Raw genomic sequence first — 17,960 nt, 5'->3', positions numbered from 1 at the left:
GACTATATAGGAAGCATAGTGGATTTTGCTTCTGGAGAGGACTCAGACAGTTTCCAATTATGGTGGAAGGCAAAGGGGAGCTAGGAGCTTCACCTGACTGGTACAGGAGGAAGAGAGAGAAGGGGTAGGTGCTACACACTTTTAAACAACCAGATATCATGAGAACTCACTATTGTGATGATAACACTAAGTGTGGGTGATGTTAAATCATGAGAACCCACCCCCATGATCAAATAACCTCAGACTGGGCCGCAACTTCAGCATCGAGGTTACATTTCAGCATGAGATTTGGGTGGGGACACAGACGCAAACCATCATTCCACACCTGGCCTCTCTGAAACCTCAAGACCTTCTCACATTTCAAAATACAATCATGAATTCCCAACAGTCCACCAAAGTCTTAACTCATTCTATTATTAACTCAAAAGTCCACAGTCCAAAGTCTCATCCAAGACAAGGCTAGTCTGTTCTGCTTATGAGCCTGTAAAATAAAAAATGAGTTAGTTACTTCCAAGATACCTTGGAGGTAAAGGCATTGAGTAATTACTCCCAATCCAAAAGGGAGAAATCTGTCAATTAAAGGAGCTACAGGTCCCATGCGTGTCTGAAACCCAATAGGACAGTCATTAACTCTTAATGCTCCAAAATAATCTCCTTTGACCCCATGTCTCACCATGGCATACAAGTGCAAGGGGTGGGCTCCCAAAGCCTTGGGCAGTTTTACTCTTGTGGCTTTGCCAGTTTCAGCCCCCACAGTTTCTCTCAAGGGCTGGCATTGAGTGCTTGCTGCTTTTCCAGGTGCAGGGTGCAAGCTGTTGGTGGATCTACTCTTCTGGGGTGTGGAGCATGGTGCTCCACTTCTCACAGCTCCAGTAGGAAGTGCCCCAGTGGGGACTCTGTGAAGAGGATCTAACTCCAGATATTCCCTCTGCACTGCCCTAGTAGAGATTTTCCATGAGGGCTCTGCCCCTGCAGCAGGCTTCTGCCTGGACATCAGGCATTTCCATATATCCTCTGAAATCTAGGTGGAGTCTTTCAAGCCCCAACTCTTGCATTCTGCGCACCCACAGGCTTAACAACAGGTGGAAGCCACCAAGACTTATAGCTTGCACCTCTGAAGCAGTGGTCCAAGCTGTACCTTGGCCCATTTTGGCTATGGCTGGAGGTTGAGTGGTTGGGATGCAGAGAGTATCCCAAGGCTGCACAGGGCAGTGGGGCCATGAGCCTGGCCTGCAAAATCATTCTGTCCTTCTAGGCTTTGTGGCCTTTAATTGGAGAGGCTACCACAAAGGTCTCTGAAATGCCTTTGAGGTCTTTCCCTATTGTCTTTGCTATTAGCACTCGACTCCTCCTTACTTATGCAAATTTCTGCAGCCTGTTTGAATTCCACCACTGAAAGTGGGCTTTTCTTTTCTATGAAATGGACAGGCTGAAAATCTTTACCCTCTGCTTCTCTTTTAAATAGAAGTTCAGTTTCAGATCATTTCTTTACTCAGGCATGTGAGCATAGATTGTTAGAAGCAGCCAGTTCACATCTTGAGTGCTTTGCTACTTAGAAATTTCTCTCACCAGATACTCTAAATCATCACTCTCAAGTTCAAAGTTCCACTTATCTGTAGAGCAGGGGCAAAATGCAGTCAGGCTCTTTGTTAAAGCATAGCAGAAGTAACCTTTACTCCAGTTCCCTATAAATTCCTCATTTCCATTTGAGACCTCCTCAGCCTGTACTTCACTGTCCATATCACTATCAGCATGTTGGTCACAACCATTCAATAAGTCTCTAGGAAGTTCCAATCTTTCCCTCACCCTGTCTTCTTCTGAGACCTCCAATCAGATCTCATAAGAACTCAGTATCATGATGTCAGCACCAAGGGGGAATGGTGTTAAATCATAAGAAACTGTTCTTCTGTTCCAATCACTTCCCACCAGGCCCTACATACAGCATTGGAAATTACATTTCAACTTGAGATTTGGGTGGGGACAGAGTTCCAAACCATATTATTTGATAACTAATGTGAAAGTATAGAGACAATTGACCAAGGGCTCTGTATAAAGTTAAGGCTGGCATCATGTGAGATTAGACATTAGAGGGATCAGTGCAATATTCAAATGTAGATAACATGCAGTTAAAAGTATGAACCTGAGAAAATAGGACACCACAGATACATTCAAAAAAGATTCCATGAATGAAAATGTTGATGTACTTCACTACATCAGATCAGTCATTTATGGCTAATAGAGTAAGAAAAAGGAAAAGAGAGAAAAATATTTGGAACAGATAATGTAAAGTTTCAATTACCTTAATTTATAAAGAATTCGTATGAATTAATTGAAAGTGGCAAATACCTCCAATAGAAGAAAAAAAATTTAAAAATATAAAAGGAAAATTTACGTTTAAAAAGATCTAGTAGGCCGTGCCCACCCGGCCCTGCACCCTCTCCTCACCGGCCGCTCTCACCGGTCTACCTCAGAGTGTGGGGCCTCCCGCGCCAGTGCGAGTCTGAGTTGGCGTGGACTCCAGGAGGCTCGCAGAAGGGGAGGGCCCGGCGGCGCGAGAGCTTAGCATCGCCAGGGCGGGCGGCAAAGCGCTGCCTCTTTGCCCACAGCACCGCCTGTTGTGGCGCCAGACCTCTGGTGAAAGAAAAGATGTTGTCCGGGTTAAGCGTAGTTTCCACCACTTGTACTTTGGCATGTCTACATTTACACATAAAAGAAAAAGGCAAGCCACTTATGCTGAATCCAAGAACAAACAAGGGAATGGCATTTACTTTACAAGAACGACAGATGCTTGGTCTTCAAGGGCTTCTACCTCCCCAAATACAGACATAAGATATTCAAGCCTTACGATTCCATAGAAACTTGAAAAAAATGACTAGCCCTTCGGAAAACTATATCTACATAATGGGAATACAAGAAAGAAATGATAAATTGTTTTATAGAATACTGCAAGATGACACGGAGAGTTTAATGCCAATTGCATATACACCGACGGTTGGTCTTGTCTGCTCCCAGTGTGGACACCTCTTTAGAAGACCTAAGGGATTATTTATTTCCATCTCAGACAGAGGTCATGTTAGATCAATTGTGGATAAGTGGCCAGAAAATCATGTTAAGGCTGTTTTAGTGACTGATGGAGAGAGAATTCTGGGTCATGGAGATCTGGGTGTCTATGGAATGGGAATTCCAGTAGGAAAAATTTGTTTGTATACAGTTTGTCCAGGAATATGGCCTGATAGATGCCTTCTGGTGTGTATTGATGTGGGAGCTGATAATATCGCACTCTTAAAAGGCACATTTTACATGGGCTTGTACCAGAAACGAGATCGCACACAACAGTCTGATGATCCAATTGATGAGTTTATGAAAGCTATTACTGACAGATATGGCTGGAACACACTCCTTCAGTTTGAAGGTTTTGGACATCATAATGCATTCAGATTCTTGAGAAAATACCAATAAAAATGTTGCACTTTCAATGATGATATTCAAGGGACAGCTGCAGTAGCTCTAATAGGTCTTCTTGCAACACAAAAAGTTACTAGTAAACCAATCTCCGAACACAAAATCTTATTCCTTGGAGCAGGAGAGATTACTCTTAGAATTGCAAATCTTGTAGTATGTCTATGGTAGAAAATGGCCTGTCAGAAGAAGAGGCACAAAAGAAAATCTGGATGTTTGACAAGTATGGTTTATTAGTTTAGGGGCAGAAAGCAAAAATAGATTGTTATCAGGAACCATTTACTTACCCAGTCCCAGAGAGCATACCTGATACTTTTGAAGATGCAGTGAATATAATGAAGACTTCAACTACAATTGGAGTTGCAGGTGCTGGCCGTCTTTTCACTCCTGATGTAATCAGAGCCATTGGCTGTATCAATGAAAGGCCTGTAATATTTGCATTAAGTAATCCTACAGCACAGGCGGAGTGCAGGAGTGCACGGCTGGAGAAGCATATACACTTACAGAGGGCAAATGTTTGTTTGCCAGTGGCAGTCCATTTGGGCCAGTGAAACTCACAGATGGGCGAATCTTTACACCAGATCGAGGAAACAATGTATATATTTTTCCAGGTGTGACTTTAGCTGTTATTCTCTGTAACACCCAGCAAATTAGTGACAATGTTTTCCTAGAAGCTGCAAAGGCATTGACAAGCCACGTGACGGATGACGCGCTAGCCCGAGGGAGACTTTACTTACCACTTGCTAATATTCAGAAAGTTTCTATTAACATTGCTATTAAAGTTACAGAATACCTGTATGCTAATAAAATGGCTTTCTCAATACCCAGAACCTGAAGACAAGGCCCAATATGTTAAAGAAAGAATATGATGGAGTGAATATGATTCCCTGCTGCCAGATGTGTGTGAGTGGCCAGAATCTGCATCAAGCCCTCCTGTGATAACAGAATAGAAGCATTCCCCTGATAAATACTTTCTGTGCTCCAGGGAACCCCTTTTTTCAGACAAGAAGAGATAATGTCCTCAGTTTTATGGTGTTTTCTGTGTTTTGTTCTCCTGACCACTTTGGTTAACATATTTGTTCCATATGTCTCCACATCTGTTGGGGTAGACATGTTGATGGATTGCATTGCCCACCAGCACCCTACAATCAGTTAATTGTGATGCTTTAATTCTAACATAAAGACCATACCACATCCAGGAGATGGAAAAAGGATGTTTGTGAATGTCTTCACTTGTACTCTAATTCAGACTTGCCAAAGTACTTGCTATTTACTATTATGGGTAATAATCCTCTCTCACCTAGTTCTTTTAGAGCTACTAAAATAGAAATTTACTTTTATGTATAGAAGTGCAGAATTTGGGAAAGAAACTAAATTTTCACCAAATTCAAGGAAAAATGGTCAGTATCTAAAAATGTTCTTCTATGTCTGCTTCATCTTTCCTTCATACTCTGAAATTCTCTTACAGAAGACAGAGCTAGAGAAATATTAAAAATTTACTCTATTTATTTTCTGGAACTAAATCAAGGCTTGGCTATAACATTATGAGAGTAATGGGAACTACTGCTGCCTTTAAATAAATAAAAGTCATTGTTTTCAACAGTGTATAAAAATCACAGTGAGGACTGGGACCAGTGGTTCACGCCTGTAATCCCAGCACTTTGGGAGGCCGAGGCGGGCAAATCACGAGGTCAGGAGTTCAATACCAGTCTGGTCAATTTGGCGAAACCCCGTCTCTACTAAAAATACAAAAATTAGCTGGGCATGGTGGCGTGTGCCTGTAGTCACAGCTACTCAGGAAGCTGAGGCAGGAGAATCACTTGAACCCAGGAGGCAGAGGTTGCAGTGAGCCAAGATTGCGCCACTGACTCTAGCCTGGGCAACAGAGTGAGAGTCCATTTCAGAAAAAAAAAAAAAAAAAAAAGCAAAACCAACCAACAAACAAAAAATAGTGTAATCTTTTTTAATTAAATAAATTTTTTTAAAAAAGATCATTTTTATACCCTCTTGGTACATATGTGGTGTTATCAATCTCGATATCTGAGCCAAATTTGAGAGTGTAGGCATCTATTCTGTCTCTGGGGAGTGGCCACAATAGTTGTTTAAGCCTTCTGTTTTGTGGGGATCTTCCTACTTGTTCCATCTAGTATTGAAAATGAGTATTGAAGTCACTAACAATTTTTTTTTCAATTGTTTCTTCCTCCTTCAATTCTGTCAGGTTTTGCTGACAGAATTTGAGGGCTTTATTAAATGCATTTGTAGTTATTAAATCTTAAAGGTAGATTTACCCCTTTATCATTACAAAATTTTCTCATTGTTTACTAAAAACTTTTGTCTTAACTCTACTGTCTTAGGGTAGCACTGCAGCTCATTTTTGTTTACTGATTGCATATTATATCTTTTTCATCCGTTTACTTTCAACCTCTTTGTTTTTTGAATCTAAACATCTCTTGTAGGGATCATAGAATTGAAACATAACTTATTTATTCTGTGGATCTCTGCATTTTGATTGGATATGGTGGGGTTTACATCTACTTTGTTATATGTTACTATATGTATCATGTGTTTTTACCTCTTTTCCTCTATCACTATCTTTTTTTATGTTAAATAGTTATGTTCCAGCGTACCATTTTAATTGCTTTGTTTATTTACTAAAAGTTTGAGGATTTTCTTTTTGTGGTTGCTATGGGGATGAGAATTAGTATCGTAATTTTAAAAGGTCTAGTTCAGAATAATGGTAAATTTTCATAGTATGCAAAAACATACTCCAATATATCTGTTTTCTCCTTTTTTTTTTTACTATTAATGCTGTACAAATTACATGTTTATACATTATAATCTTTTAACTGTGTTTTATAATGATTGTTTTGTGCAGCTGTCATCTAAAACAGAGTAAGGCAAGGAATACAAACAAAAGCACATTTACGCTGGCTTTTATATTTATCTTTGTAGTTTTCTTTTCCTTTTCCTTTTTTTTGAGACAAGGTCTTGCTCTGTTGCCCAGGCTGGAATGCAGTGGTGTAATCTTGGCTCACTGCCACCTCCGCATCCTGGGCTCAAACAATCCTCTGGTCTCACCACCTCCAAGTAGCTAGGACTACAGGCACGTGCCACCATGCCTGGCTAATTTTTTTTTTTTTTTTTTTTGTATTTTTTTGAATAGATGAGGCTTTTCCATGATGCCCAGGCTGGTCTCCTCAAACACCTGGGCTCAAGGAAACCTCCTTCCTCAGCCTCCAAAGTGCTGTGACTACAGGTGAGCCACTGAATCTAGCCTTCTTTGTAGTTATTTTTTGTTGCACTTTACTCCTTGATGTGAATTTGAGTTTCATAAAGCGTTTTATTCATTTCAGCCTAAATAACTTACTTTAATATATCATGTAGGGCAAGTCTATAAGCAAGAAATTCTCTTCTCTCTCTCTCTTCATTTCATTGGGCATGTCTTAACTTCTTTTTTATTTTTGCATGAGATTTTAGCTATATATAGAATTATCAGCTTACAGTCTGAGACATTTTGAACATGTCATTCCACTGTCTTCTAATATCCAGGGTTTCTGATGAGAAGTCAGTTATTACTTTTACCAAGGATCTCTGCAATAGGTTAAGTTAACCCTTCTTGCTGCTTTCAAGGATTTGTATTTTTCATTTATTATCATCGATTAACTTGTTAGACTTATTCTACCTGGAATCTTAGGTAAATTTATTCTATCTGAGCTTCTTGAATTTGAAGATTAGTGTCTTTTATACAACTTGGGAGTGTTTTGGAAAATACTTCTTTAAAAATTTTTCTAGTCTTTTCTCTGGTATTGCATTATGTGGATGTTGATACAATTTGTACGGGCCCACATGTCTCTGAGGATCTGTTCATATTTTTTTCTGCTTCTCAGACTGAATAGTCCCTATTGACCTATCTTCAATGTTGTTCATGAATTCATCTGCCAGCTCAAATCTGTTGTTGAAATTTTGATAAATTTCCATTTCAGTTATACTTTTAATTACTAGAATTTCTGTTTGATACTTTCTTATAATTTTATCTCTTTACTAATATTCTCTATTTCATGAGGCAGCATTCTTATTTTATTTTTAGATATAATTTATTTTGTTCTATTAATATATATTGATAGATCATTTAAAATCTCTATGAAGCCTAAAATCTAGGCTTTCTCAGGGTCATTTAATAGCTACTTTCCACTACCCTGTGTTTCAGGCATATTTTCCTGTGTCTTTGCACATCTCATATTTATTTCTAAAAACTGAACAGTTTTGGTAACATATTGTAGTAAATCTGATACACACATCTACCTAATCAAAGTGTATTCTTGTTCTTTTAAAATTTGTTGTTATTCTTTTTTTGGTTAATATTATTTAAAATTTATAAGCAAAGTTGAATTTTATCAAAAGCTTTCCCTGAATCTCTACTGAGATAATTATACAGTTTTTCTCCTTCATTCTATTGATGTGATGGATGACATGACATTTATTGATTTGCATATGTTGAACCATCCTTGCATTCCTGGGATAAAACTCACTTGATCATGGTGTGTTATATTTTTGATGTGTTGTTGAATTCGGTTTGATAGTATTTTGTTGAGAATTTTTGCATCTCTTCTATGTTCTGTGGAGATATTGGTCTGGGGTGTGTGTGTGTGTGTGTGTATGTGTGCGTGTGTCTGGTTTTGGTATCAGAGTTATGCTAGTGTTATAAAAAGAGTTAGGAAGAATTTACTCTGCTTCACTTTTTCATAATAGTTTGAGAAGAGTTGGCATAACTTTTTTTTTTTAAGATCCAGTAAAATTCAGCAGTAAAGCCATACAATCTGGGACTTTTCTTTGTTGGGAGGCTTATTACTGATTCCATCTTGTTAATTGTTATTGACCTGTTTAGGATTTCTATTTCTTCTTGGTTCAACATTGGTAGGTTGTATTTGTACAGGAATTTATCCATTTCCTGTAGATTTTCTAGTTTGTTAGTGTATGGTTGTTCATAGCAGTCTCTATTAATACCTTGTATTTTGGTGCTAATAATTGTGATGTCTCCTTTTTGTTTCTAATTTTATTTATTTGTGTCTTTTTAAGTCTATCTAATAGTTTATTGATTTTATTTATCATTGCACAAAACCAATTTTTTGTTCTTCTTTTGCATTTTTTTCTTAACTTTTTGTTTTGATTTCTGCTCTAATCTTTATTGTTTCTTTTCTTTTACTAATTTTGGGTTTTTTCTTACTTTTTAAAAGAGATATTATTAGGTAATTTATTTGAAATCTTACTAGTTTTTTGATGTAGTCATTTATCACTCTAAACTTTCCTCTTAGTGTTGTTTTTCTTCTGAGTCCCAAAGGTTTTGATGCATTGTGTTTCTAGTTTCATTTGTTTCAATAAAATTTAAAGAAATTTTATTTTTAATTATTCCCTTCACTTATTTATCATTCAGAAGCATGTTGTTTAATTTCTATGTATTTATATAGTTTCAAATATTTCTCATTTTTTTGGTGTATGGTTTTATTCCATTGTTGTCTGAGAAGACACTAGATGTGATTTCAATTTTTTTTAAATGTTGTGGAGACTTGTTTTGTGTCCTGACGTATGTCTTAACCTTGAGAATGCTCCAAGCGCTGATAAAAATACATGTGTTATTTTGCAGCTGAGTGAAAAGTTCTGTAAGTATCTTAGGTCTATTTTCCCAATGGTACAATTTAAAATCAATGTTTCTTTGTTGATTTCCTGCCTAGATAATGTGTTCAATGCTGAGAGTAGGGTGTTAAGGACCCCAGCTATTATTGTATTGAGGTCTACTTCTCCCTTCAGTTTTAATAATATTTGCCTTACATGTCTGGGTCGTCCAATGTTAGGTGCATATATACTTGCTAAATATAATAATTGCTAAATTGATTCTTGTATTATTATATAATTTTCTTCTGTGTCTCCTTTTACAGCTTTTATCTTCAAATCTACTTTGATAGAACTATGGCTGCTCCTGCTCACTTTCCATTTTCATGGAGTATGTTTTTCCATCCCTTCTCTTTCAGTATATATGAGTCTTCTGAGGTGAGATAATTTGTTATAGGCAGCATAGGTTAGGTCTTGTTTTGTTTTAATCTGTTCAGCTATTCTATATATTTTAACTGGGGAATTTAATCCATTTGCATTTATATTTAAGGTTATTATGGATAGGTGGAGACTTACTTTTGTCAATTTATTGTTTTCTGGTTGTTTTGCATATACTTTGATTCTTACTTCTTGTACTGTTTTTTTTTGACTTCTGCATTTGGGTGATTTTCTGTAACTATATGTTTTATTCATTTCTCTCTCTTCTTTGTGTATCAGCTCCACCAACTTGTTTTATAGTTTTACATACTTTAATAATGATAGTTATTATCTTTATACTTCCAAACATGACTTCCTTTAGCATTTCTTGTAAGGCTGGTGTAGTGATGATGAATTTCTTTCATTTTTACTTGTGTATGAAATATGTTGTTTCTGTTTCATTTCAGAAGGATAGTTTTGCTGGATATAACATTCTTGAGTGACAGGTTGTCGTTTTCTTCTTTCAGTACTTTAAATATATCATCCCATTATTTCCTGGCCTGTGAGGTCTCTACTGAGAAATCCACTGTTATCTTAAAAGAGATACCCGTATGTCTGACCTGATGCTTTTCTCATGTTGCTTTTAAATGTTTTGTTTGCCTTTCATTTTTGACAATTTGACTATATGATGCCTCAGAAGCGATCTGCTTGGCTTGAATCTATTTGAGATTTTTTTGAGCTTCCTGGATGTCTATCTTCCTGAATGCTCATTTTTCTCCCAGGACTTGGGAAGTTTTTTGCTTTTATTTCATTAAATATGTTTTCCTCACCTTTTCATCTCTCTTCTGAAATTTCCATAATATGCATATTTATTTGCTTAATGGTATCACATAAATCCTTGATATGGTTTGGCTCTGTATCTCCACCTAAATCTCATCTTGAATTGTAATCTCCATGTGTCAAGGGAGCAACCTGATGAGAGGTGATTGGATCATGGGGCAGTTTCTCCATTCTGTTCTCATGATCGTGCAGTAGTTCTCACAAGATCTAGTTGTTTGATGAATGCCTGGTGCTTCCTCCTTCTCCCTCTGTCTTTCCTGTCACCAAGTAAGATGTACTTTGCTTCCCCTTTATCTTCCACCATGATTGTAAGTTTCCTGAGGCTACCACAGCCATGTGTAACTGTGAGTCAATTAAACTACTTTCTTTTGTAAATTACCCAGACTCAAGGATTCTTTACAGAAGTATGAAAACTGACTAATACAATCCTGTAGGCGTTCTTTATTTTTTTCATTATTTTTTCTATTTTGTCTGCCTGTGTTTTTGGAAAAGACTATTTTCATGTTCAGACATTCTTTCTTCTGCTTGGTTTAGTCTGTAGTTGGAGTTCTCAATTGTAATTTTTATTTAATTCATTGAATTCTTTAACTTTAAGATTTCTATTTGGTTCTTTTTGTATCCACCTCTTTGTCAAATTTCTCACTCAAATTATGAATTGCATTTTTAATTTCATTGAGTTGTCTACCTGCCTTTGCTTATATGTCCTTAAGATTATTATTTTGAATTATTTTTCTGACATTTCATATGTTTCCTTATGATTGGGTTTGGCTACTGGAGAATTATTATTTACCTTTAGAGGTGACACATTTCCTTGCTTTTTCATGATTGATGTGTTCCTAGATTGACTTCTATACATCAGGTGGAAAGTTGCTGAATGCTTCCAATTTTATGGAGTAGGTATCATATAAAAAGATGTATTTGTATGAATGGGTCTTGGGGTGTTGCTTTTGTGGGGTGTGTTGGTCTTGGTTCTAGGTAGAGGCAGTAGTGTAGTCTCCAAGTAGTTTCTTCAGCTATAGTCTACATTAGTGGCATAGGCTAAGAGAACCTGTGGCAATGGTGGTGTGGCCTTTCCAGGAGTTGGCTTACTGGGCTGTTTCTCAGGTCAGGGGTGTAAGGGGATCATCTGACTTACGATCTGGCTCACTGGGGTTGGGGCAATGGAGCTGCTATTCTGGCTGGAAGCACAGGCACACATTTGAATGACCTAGGGATGTACCTGCCAGGATTTCTTGGCTTGCCTGAGGGTGTGTCAGCTAGGAACAACTCATAAGGCTGTTTCTCAGGCTTAAGACGTAGCTGCATAGTTACTCAGCTGGTCCCAGGGCATTTCTGTAAGGAGTAGCCCATGGGGCTGTTTTTCAGGCTTGAGATATTGCTGCAAGGTTGCTCAGCTAGCCCTGAGGGTGTGTGTGCTTGGGGGCAGGCATAGGGTAGTGTGGTGGCCCACGAGGCCATTTCTTAGTTCTTTGATTTTGGAGCATGGCTGCTTGACTGGCGTGGTGACACATACACTTGGGGCAGGCACAGGGCTGTTTCTTATGCTCCCAATACAGCTTCATGGCTGCTTGGCTGGTCTGGAAGCATTCTATGGGGCTGGCCCACAGGACTGTTTTGTTGGCCCAGGACATGGGCACAGGGCTGCTTGGTTGGCCTGGAGGCATGCCCGCTAGATGTGGCCCACAGTGCTGTTTCTCAGATCTTTGAGGTAAGTGCAAGGTTGTTTGGCCGGTTCAAGGGTGTGCCTGCTGGGGGCAGCCTGTAGGACTGTTTTAAAGGCCTGGTGTGCAGATTCACAGCTGATTGGCTGGCCTGGAACATGCCCTCCAGGGTTGTCCTATGAAATTGTTTCTCAGACCCTTATAGGTGTATAGGGATATTAGACAGGCTGAGGGCATGTCTGTGGGGCACAGTGGTGCTTGGGGCTGTTTCTTACATCCTAAGCATGGATGCATAGCCACTCTGCTGGTGGAGGGGCATATTTGCTACTCAGAGGCTCTTGGGCCTCTTGGGTTAGAGTGTGCAGCAGTTCATTTGGCTCAAGGGCGGGTTCACCTTGGGCAAGAAAGGGAGACTGCTTCTGTGGCTGGTATCCCTGCTGTACAGGACCAGAGTCACAACCAATCTTGGGCTCAAGCTCCATATAGCTGGGGTTATAGTGTTCAGGCACCCATATGGGCTTGGGGTAATGAAGATGGAGCCCCAGTGCTGGAGAAGTGTGGTCGCTACTGGCCCTTAGGGCAGGGCACACTCCAGAGGTGGCTTTGATATAAAGATGGTGCTGTGCTACTTCAGCTTGGCTCATAGTGGGAAGGTTGGGGTCAGGAGTATACACTTTATGCCCCTATTCTGGGACAATCTCGTTGTGTGAATTTCCCCAGCTCTTCATATTTGGTTCAGGGTTTGTGCAGAATGTAGGATTGTCCTGTTGTAAGAACTGTAAGTGTTTTCCTTGGCAATGGGGACCGGTGGGGATCTTCTGCTTATCTTTTCCCCACAAGAAGTTCCTCCTGATTCCATGCAAACACAATTTAAGTGAGGTAGATGAGGCTGCAGAGGCCAGGTGCTTCCATGATTCCCTTCTGAAATTCCAGTCACCACAGGTGCATCTCCACTCCTATGCTGCACTCCAGGGCTCTCCATTTGACATGCCAGAGAAATCTGACTGTTTATTTGTTGCCGTCTTCCTTTCCTGTGGGAGTGGGGAAAATGCCAGAAGTACCTAGACAGCCATTTTGCTGATATCACTTTTTGTTGTTCTTATTTTTCTTATTCTTGGTGATTTGTTTATAAACTTTCCTGGGCTAATTATCTAGATTATTCACTCTCATCCCTTGTGTCCATTGAGTTACATGCTAACTTTTCATTTTTTAGTTTTTGGGGGATTATTTTTAAGTCCCAGCTCTGTAGGGTATCACACCTCAGTATAAATTGCTGGCCAGCCAGTGATTGGTCAGAATATTTTCTTAAAATTATGCCTATTTGTTCTTCACTTTTTGTCAAAGGAATCAGCGTGAGAAGCCAAGTGCTCAAACTTCAGGAAGTTCACAAGACAGCCTTGGCTTTAACTTTGCACAGGGCTTCAAGGTCAACAAGTGATGACTAAATGGGGCCTTCTTTTTCAGGTTTTTTCTGGAAATGTGAACATCTTATTAGATCCCCAGGGACATGTCAGAGATTTTTTTCAAAGTCCCTTATGGTTGTCTAATTCTCCAGACTCTTGTCTACCTCAATTGAAATCATAATCTTAAGTGGTTTCGATATAGCCAGCATATTGTTAAGTTTTATTAATGCTCTGGAGAAGGGCCCTTTCTTTTGATCTGACCCTGAGTCAAAGCAAATACCCATACATTATTGGAGTGGAGACTTTTCATGGACCTGCAAATTTGGACAAAATAATAATGATGTTCTGAGAAGTGCGCTTTCAACACAGCTCCAAACTTATTCTTTCTGCTGTTTACTTCAAGGCTGCTGCCTTTTGGCCACCATACCACTGAGAAGGAGAGAAAGAGAAGGTAAAAGAATATTCCCAAGTCAAAGCATTTCAGACTCCACTGTCTCACTGAGGGTTTATAATTTCTTTTGGATAGATGATTTTCACTATGTCGTGTAGTTTTGATCAATTTTCAGAATTCTGAACTGTTGGATGTTAGTGGTTTTGCTCATAATTTTACAGAAGAGTGAGTTTATTTAGTTCTTAATTATCCAGTCCAGAAACAAAATTATTCCATCAAGGGAGTTCATTTTTATTGTGAAATTTTATTTTCACTTGATAAAGATCTTGTCAGTCAACCTATAAGTAAATTAAAATTAATAGTATCTTATTGCTATTGAAATGGCTTTTTCTTATTTCTAAAATTAGTACTGTTACAGAGGGAAAATAAATCAAATTTTAAAATTTAAGTTTAAGAAATTGAAAATAGAAAATAAAATTATAATTTCAAAGGAACTAAATTATTACTTGGCCTCCATCATTGCAAAATTTTAAAATTTTTGGTTTATTTGAGAAACACCATGCGTTATTTAAGTGTTAAATATTAGTTGAGCTAAGCTATGTGTTTTCATATTTTCCATAGCCTATATTATATAAAATAATAAATTATGACTTACTAGATATATGGGAAATTATTTTCAAAAAAAAATTAAATGAAAAAAATTTATTGCTCTTTCTGTCATGTTTTTAAATAAAAGCAAGCATACCTTAGTAGTTTTTTTATGATATTTTGGCTACTAAGTTCTCATAAATCTTTTAAATGTGATCCAAAGAGAATTGGGTTTAAAATGTTTCACTAGATGATGGGATTTTACATTGATATTTAATTTTTCTTTTTTCAAACTAAAATACATGTCTCTCAGTCAAAACTACATTTTAAAATTATAAGCATTAGTGAAGTTAAGCTGTTTGTCTCATTACTTATTGAACATTTTGAGTTTTTGCTTTACAATATCTTGGAAAGCATGGCTGCCAACAATTCTATTTTAATTTTGACCTTTGTTACTAGCCAAAAGAATCATGAGTAAATTACTTTACTTCTGGATACATCAGTTTCCTCATCTATAAACTGGAATTAATACTACTACTTACCTCAAGGCCTGGTGCAAAGTATAAATATTACGTAAGTTAGCGTGTTTGGATTTATAGAACATTCAATGATAATGTATATACCATGCCTAGCACATAATCAATGCACAATAAAGAGTAACATGCTTTTCTGAATTGAGAATGGATCTTTTGCTCTCTACATTGCAACTATTTTTTTTTAGCATAAAATAGGGCGACCTTGAGTTTCTGTCCTTGGAGTCATATTAATTAAATTTTGTAAAATCTTATCTCTATCCCAGATATTGACTTGATGTGAGTGGCACTATGCAGTATTATATTTTAATTAAAACCACACTAATATTTACAGGTGTTTTATAGTAAACTAACTCCTTTGTTGATCTTCTCAAGGCATACTGCTTCCATAATGGAATGTTGAGTGGTGTCCTTTATATTTTCTAGATTTTCCAGTCATTGTTCACTGGGTTCAAGCAGATCATTGCCTACTCACTTTATTTATATAGTAAGGACACAGATAACAATTGAGCCACTGAAGCAATGGAGCTGTGTACACATTATAAATACAGACTTATCACAGAATGCTGACTTGGTAGGACAAATTCATTGTATTAAGTTATTTATAATTGGTCTTTTTTTTAAAATGCTTTGGATGTCTTCAGGAGAAAGCGATTATTCCTAAAGTAACTGAAAATCTCTAAGGGCCAAAAAATATGAAAGGGTTATTTTGAGAGCATCAGTGTATATAATTCAAATATTATTTTCTTTTTATTGGATTTATTTTATTTGATATTTGTGGTATACAGCATGATGTTTTGATATAAATTTTTGATAAATATACATAGTAAAATAATTATAGTCAAAACGTTTACATGTCAATCACCTTTCATAGTTACCTTTTGTGTGTATGTGTGTTACGAACACCTAGAACTAACCCTTTTAGCAAATTTTCAGTATATAATGCACATTATCAACTATACTTCTCATGTTGTACATCAAACCTCTATATTTATTTATTCTCCCTGATGGCAAATTTATGCCCTTTGACCTATTTCTGTCCATTTCCTCTCCCTCTCTGACCCTAGTAAACACTGCTCTATTTTCTGTTTTTATGTGTTCCACTTTTTAAAAATTTCACATATAGGCAACATCATATAGTACTTTTCTTTGTTTCTGGCTTATCTCACCTAGCATGATATTCTCCCGGTTCATCCATGTTGCTGCAAATAGCAGTATTTCCTTCTTTAAACCTGAATAGTAACAGTCCATTTTATATATATAGGACTATTATACATATATATAAATTTCTTTTTTTTTGAGATGGAGTCTTATCCTGTCACCAGGCTAGAGTGCAGTGGTGCGATCTCGGCTTACTGCAACCCCCGCCTCCTGGGTTCCAGCAATTCTCCTGCCTCAGCCTCCCAAGTAGCTGGGAATACAGGCACGCACCACCATGCCCAGCTAATTTTGTATTTTTAGTAGAGATGGGGTTTCACCATGTTGGCAAGGATAGTCTCGATCTCTTGACCTTGTGATCTGCCCACCTCAGCCTCCCAAAGTGCTGGGATTACAGGCGTGAGCCACCCCACCTGGTCACATATATGTAAATCTATTTATCCATTCATTTGTCAATAAATACTTAGGTTGTTTCAATATCTTGACTATAACAATTCAATGAACATGTAAGGGCAAATATCTCTATGAGGTGCTGCTTCCATTTCCTTGGGTATATGCTTAACCAAGGGATTTCAGGGTCATATTAAAGTTCTATTTTTAATTCTTTTCAGGAACCTCCATACTGTTTTTCATAATGGCTATACTTATTTATATTCCTGCTGACAGTATACAAGAGTTCCATTTTCTCCACATCCCTATCAATACTTGTCATCTTTCAACATTCAGTTACTAGTCATTTAATAGTTTTGATGTGATATCTTATTGTAGATTTAATTTGCATTTCTCTAAGGATTAGTGATGTTGAGCACCTTCTTATATAACTGTTGGCCATTTTTATGTCTTCTTTGGAAAAATGTCTATTCAGTATCTTTGCAGTTTTAATTAAGCTATTTGTTATTGCTTTTGCTTTCTATTGGTTAAAGTTCCTTACATAGTTTGGATCTTAAGCCTTTATCAGATATACGGATTATAAATATTTTCTCCCAAACAATAGGCTGCCTTTTTCTTGTAATTCTTATTTCTTTTGTTGTGCAGTTGCTTTTCAGTTCGATAGTTCCACTTCTTTATTTTTCTTTTGTTGCCTGAGCTTCTGATATTAAGAAAAAACTGTTGCCAAGGCCAATATCAAGGAGATATACACCTATGTTTCCTTCTACAGTTTTCTAGTTTTAGGTTTTACATCTAGGTTTTAATTTATTTTGAGATGATTTTGTGTATTGGATAAGATAAGAATCTAGTTTCTTTCTTTTGCATATAGATATCCAGTTTTCCCAACATCATTTATTGAAGAGACTATCCTTTTTCCACTGTGCCTCCTTAGTGGGTGTATTGGTCTATTTTCACACTGCTATGAAGAACTTCCCTGAAACTTGGTAATTTATAAAGAAAAGAGGTTTAATTGATTCACAGTACCACAGGGCAAAGGAGGCCTCAGGAAACTTACAATCATGGCATAAGGGGAAGCAGGTACCTTCTTCAGAAGGCAGAAGGAGAAAGAAGAGAAGGCTAAGGGGGAAGAGTCCCTTTTAAAACCATCAGCTATCATGAGAAGTCACTCACTATCATGATAACATCATGGGGGAAATAGCCCCTATGATCCAATCATCTCCCTCCCTCTACAAGGGGGGATTACAGGTCCCTCCCTGGACACATGGGGATTATAAATTGAGATGTGATTTGGGTGCACAGAGTCAAACTGTATCAATCTGCCCCAACTCCTCACAAACCTCATGGCTTTTACATTTCAGAACCAATCATGCCTTCTCAAGGCTCCCCCAGAGTCTTAACTCATTCCGGCATTAACTCAAAAGTCCATAGTCGAAAGTCTTATCTGAGACAAGGAAAGTCCCTTCTGTCTATGAGCCTGTAAAATCAAAAGCATGTTAGTTATTTCCCAGATACA

At 37.6% G+C, this 17,960-nt stretch overlaps 1 pseudogene; it reads left to right on the top strand.

Annotated features, from left to right (window-relative positions):
- On the top strand, window positions 2,446-5,441 carry ME2P1 (malic enzyme 2 pseudogene 1; annotated as a pseudogene).

This window comes from Homo sapiens, chromosome 9 (assembly GCF_000001405.40).
Source record: "Homo sapiens chromosome 9, GRCh38.p14 Primary Assembly".
Classification (NCBI taxonomy): Eukaryota; Metazoa; Chordata; class Mammalia; order Primates; family Hominidae; genus Homo; species Homo sapiens.
The sequence above is the reverse complement of the archived record's forward strand: the minus strand, read 5'-3'. Positions and strand labels throughout refer to the sequence as shown.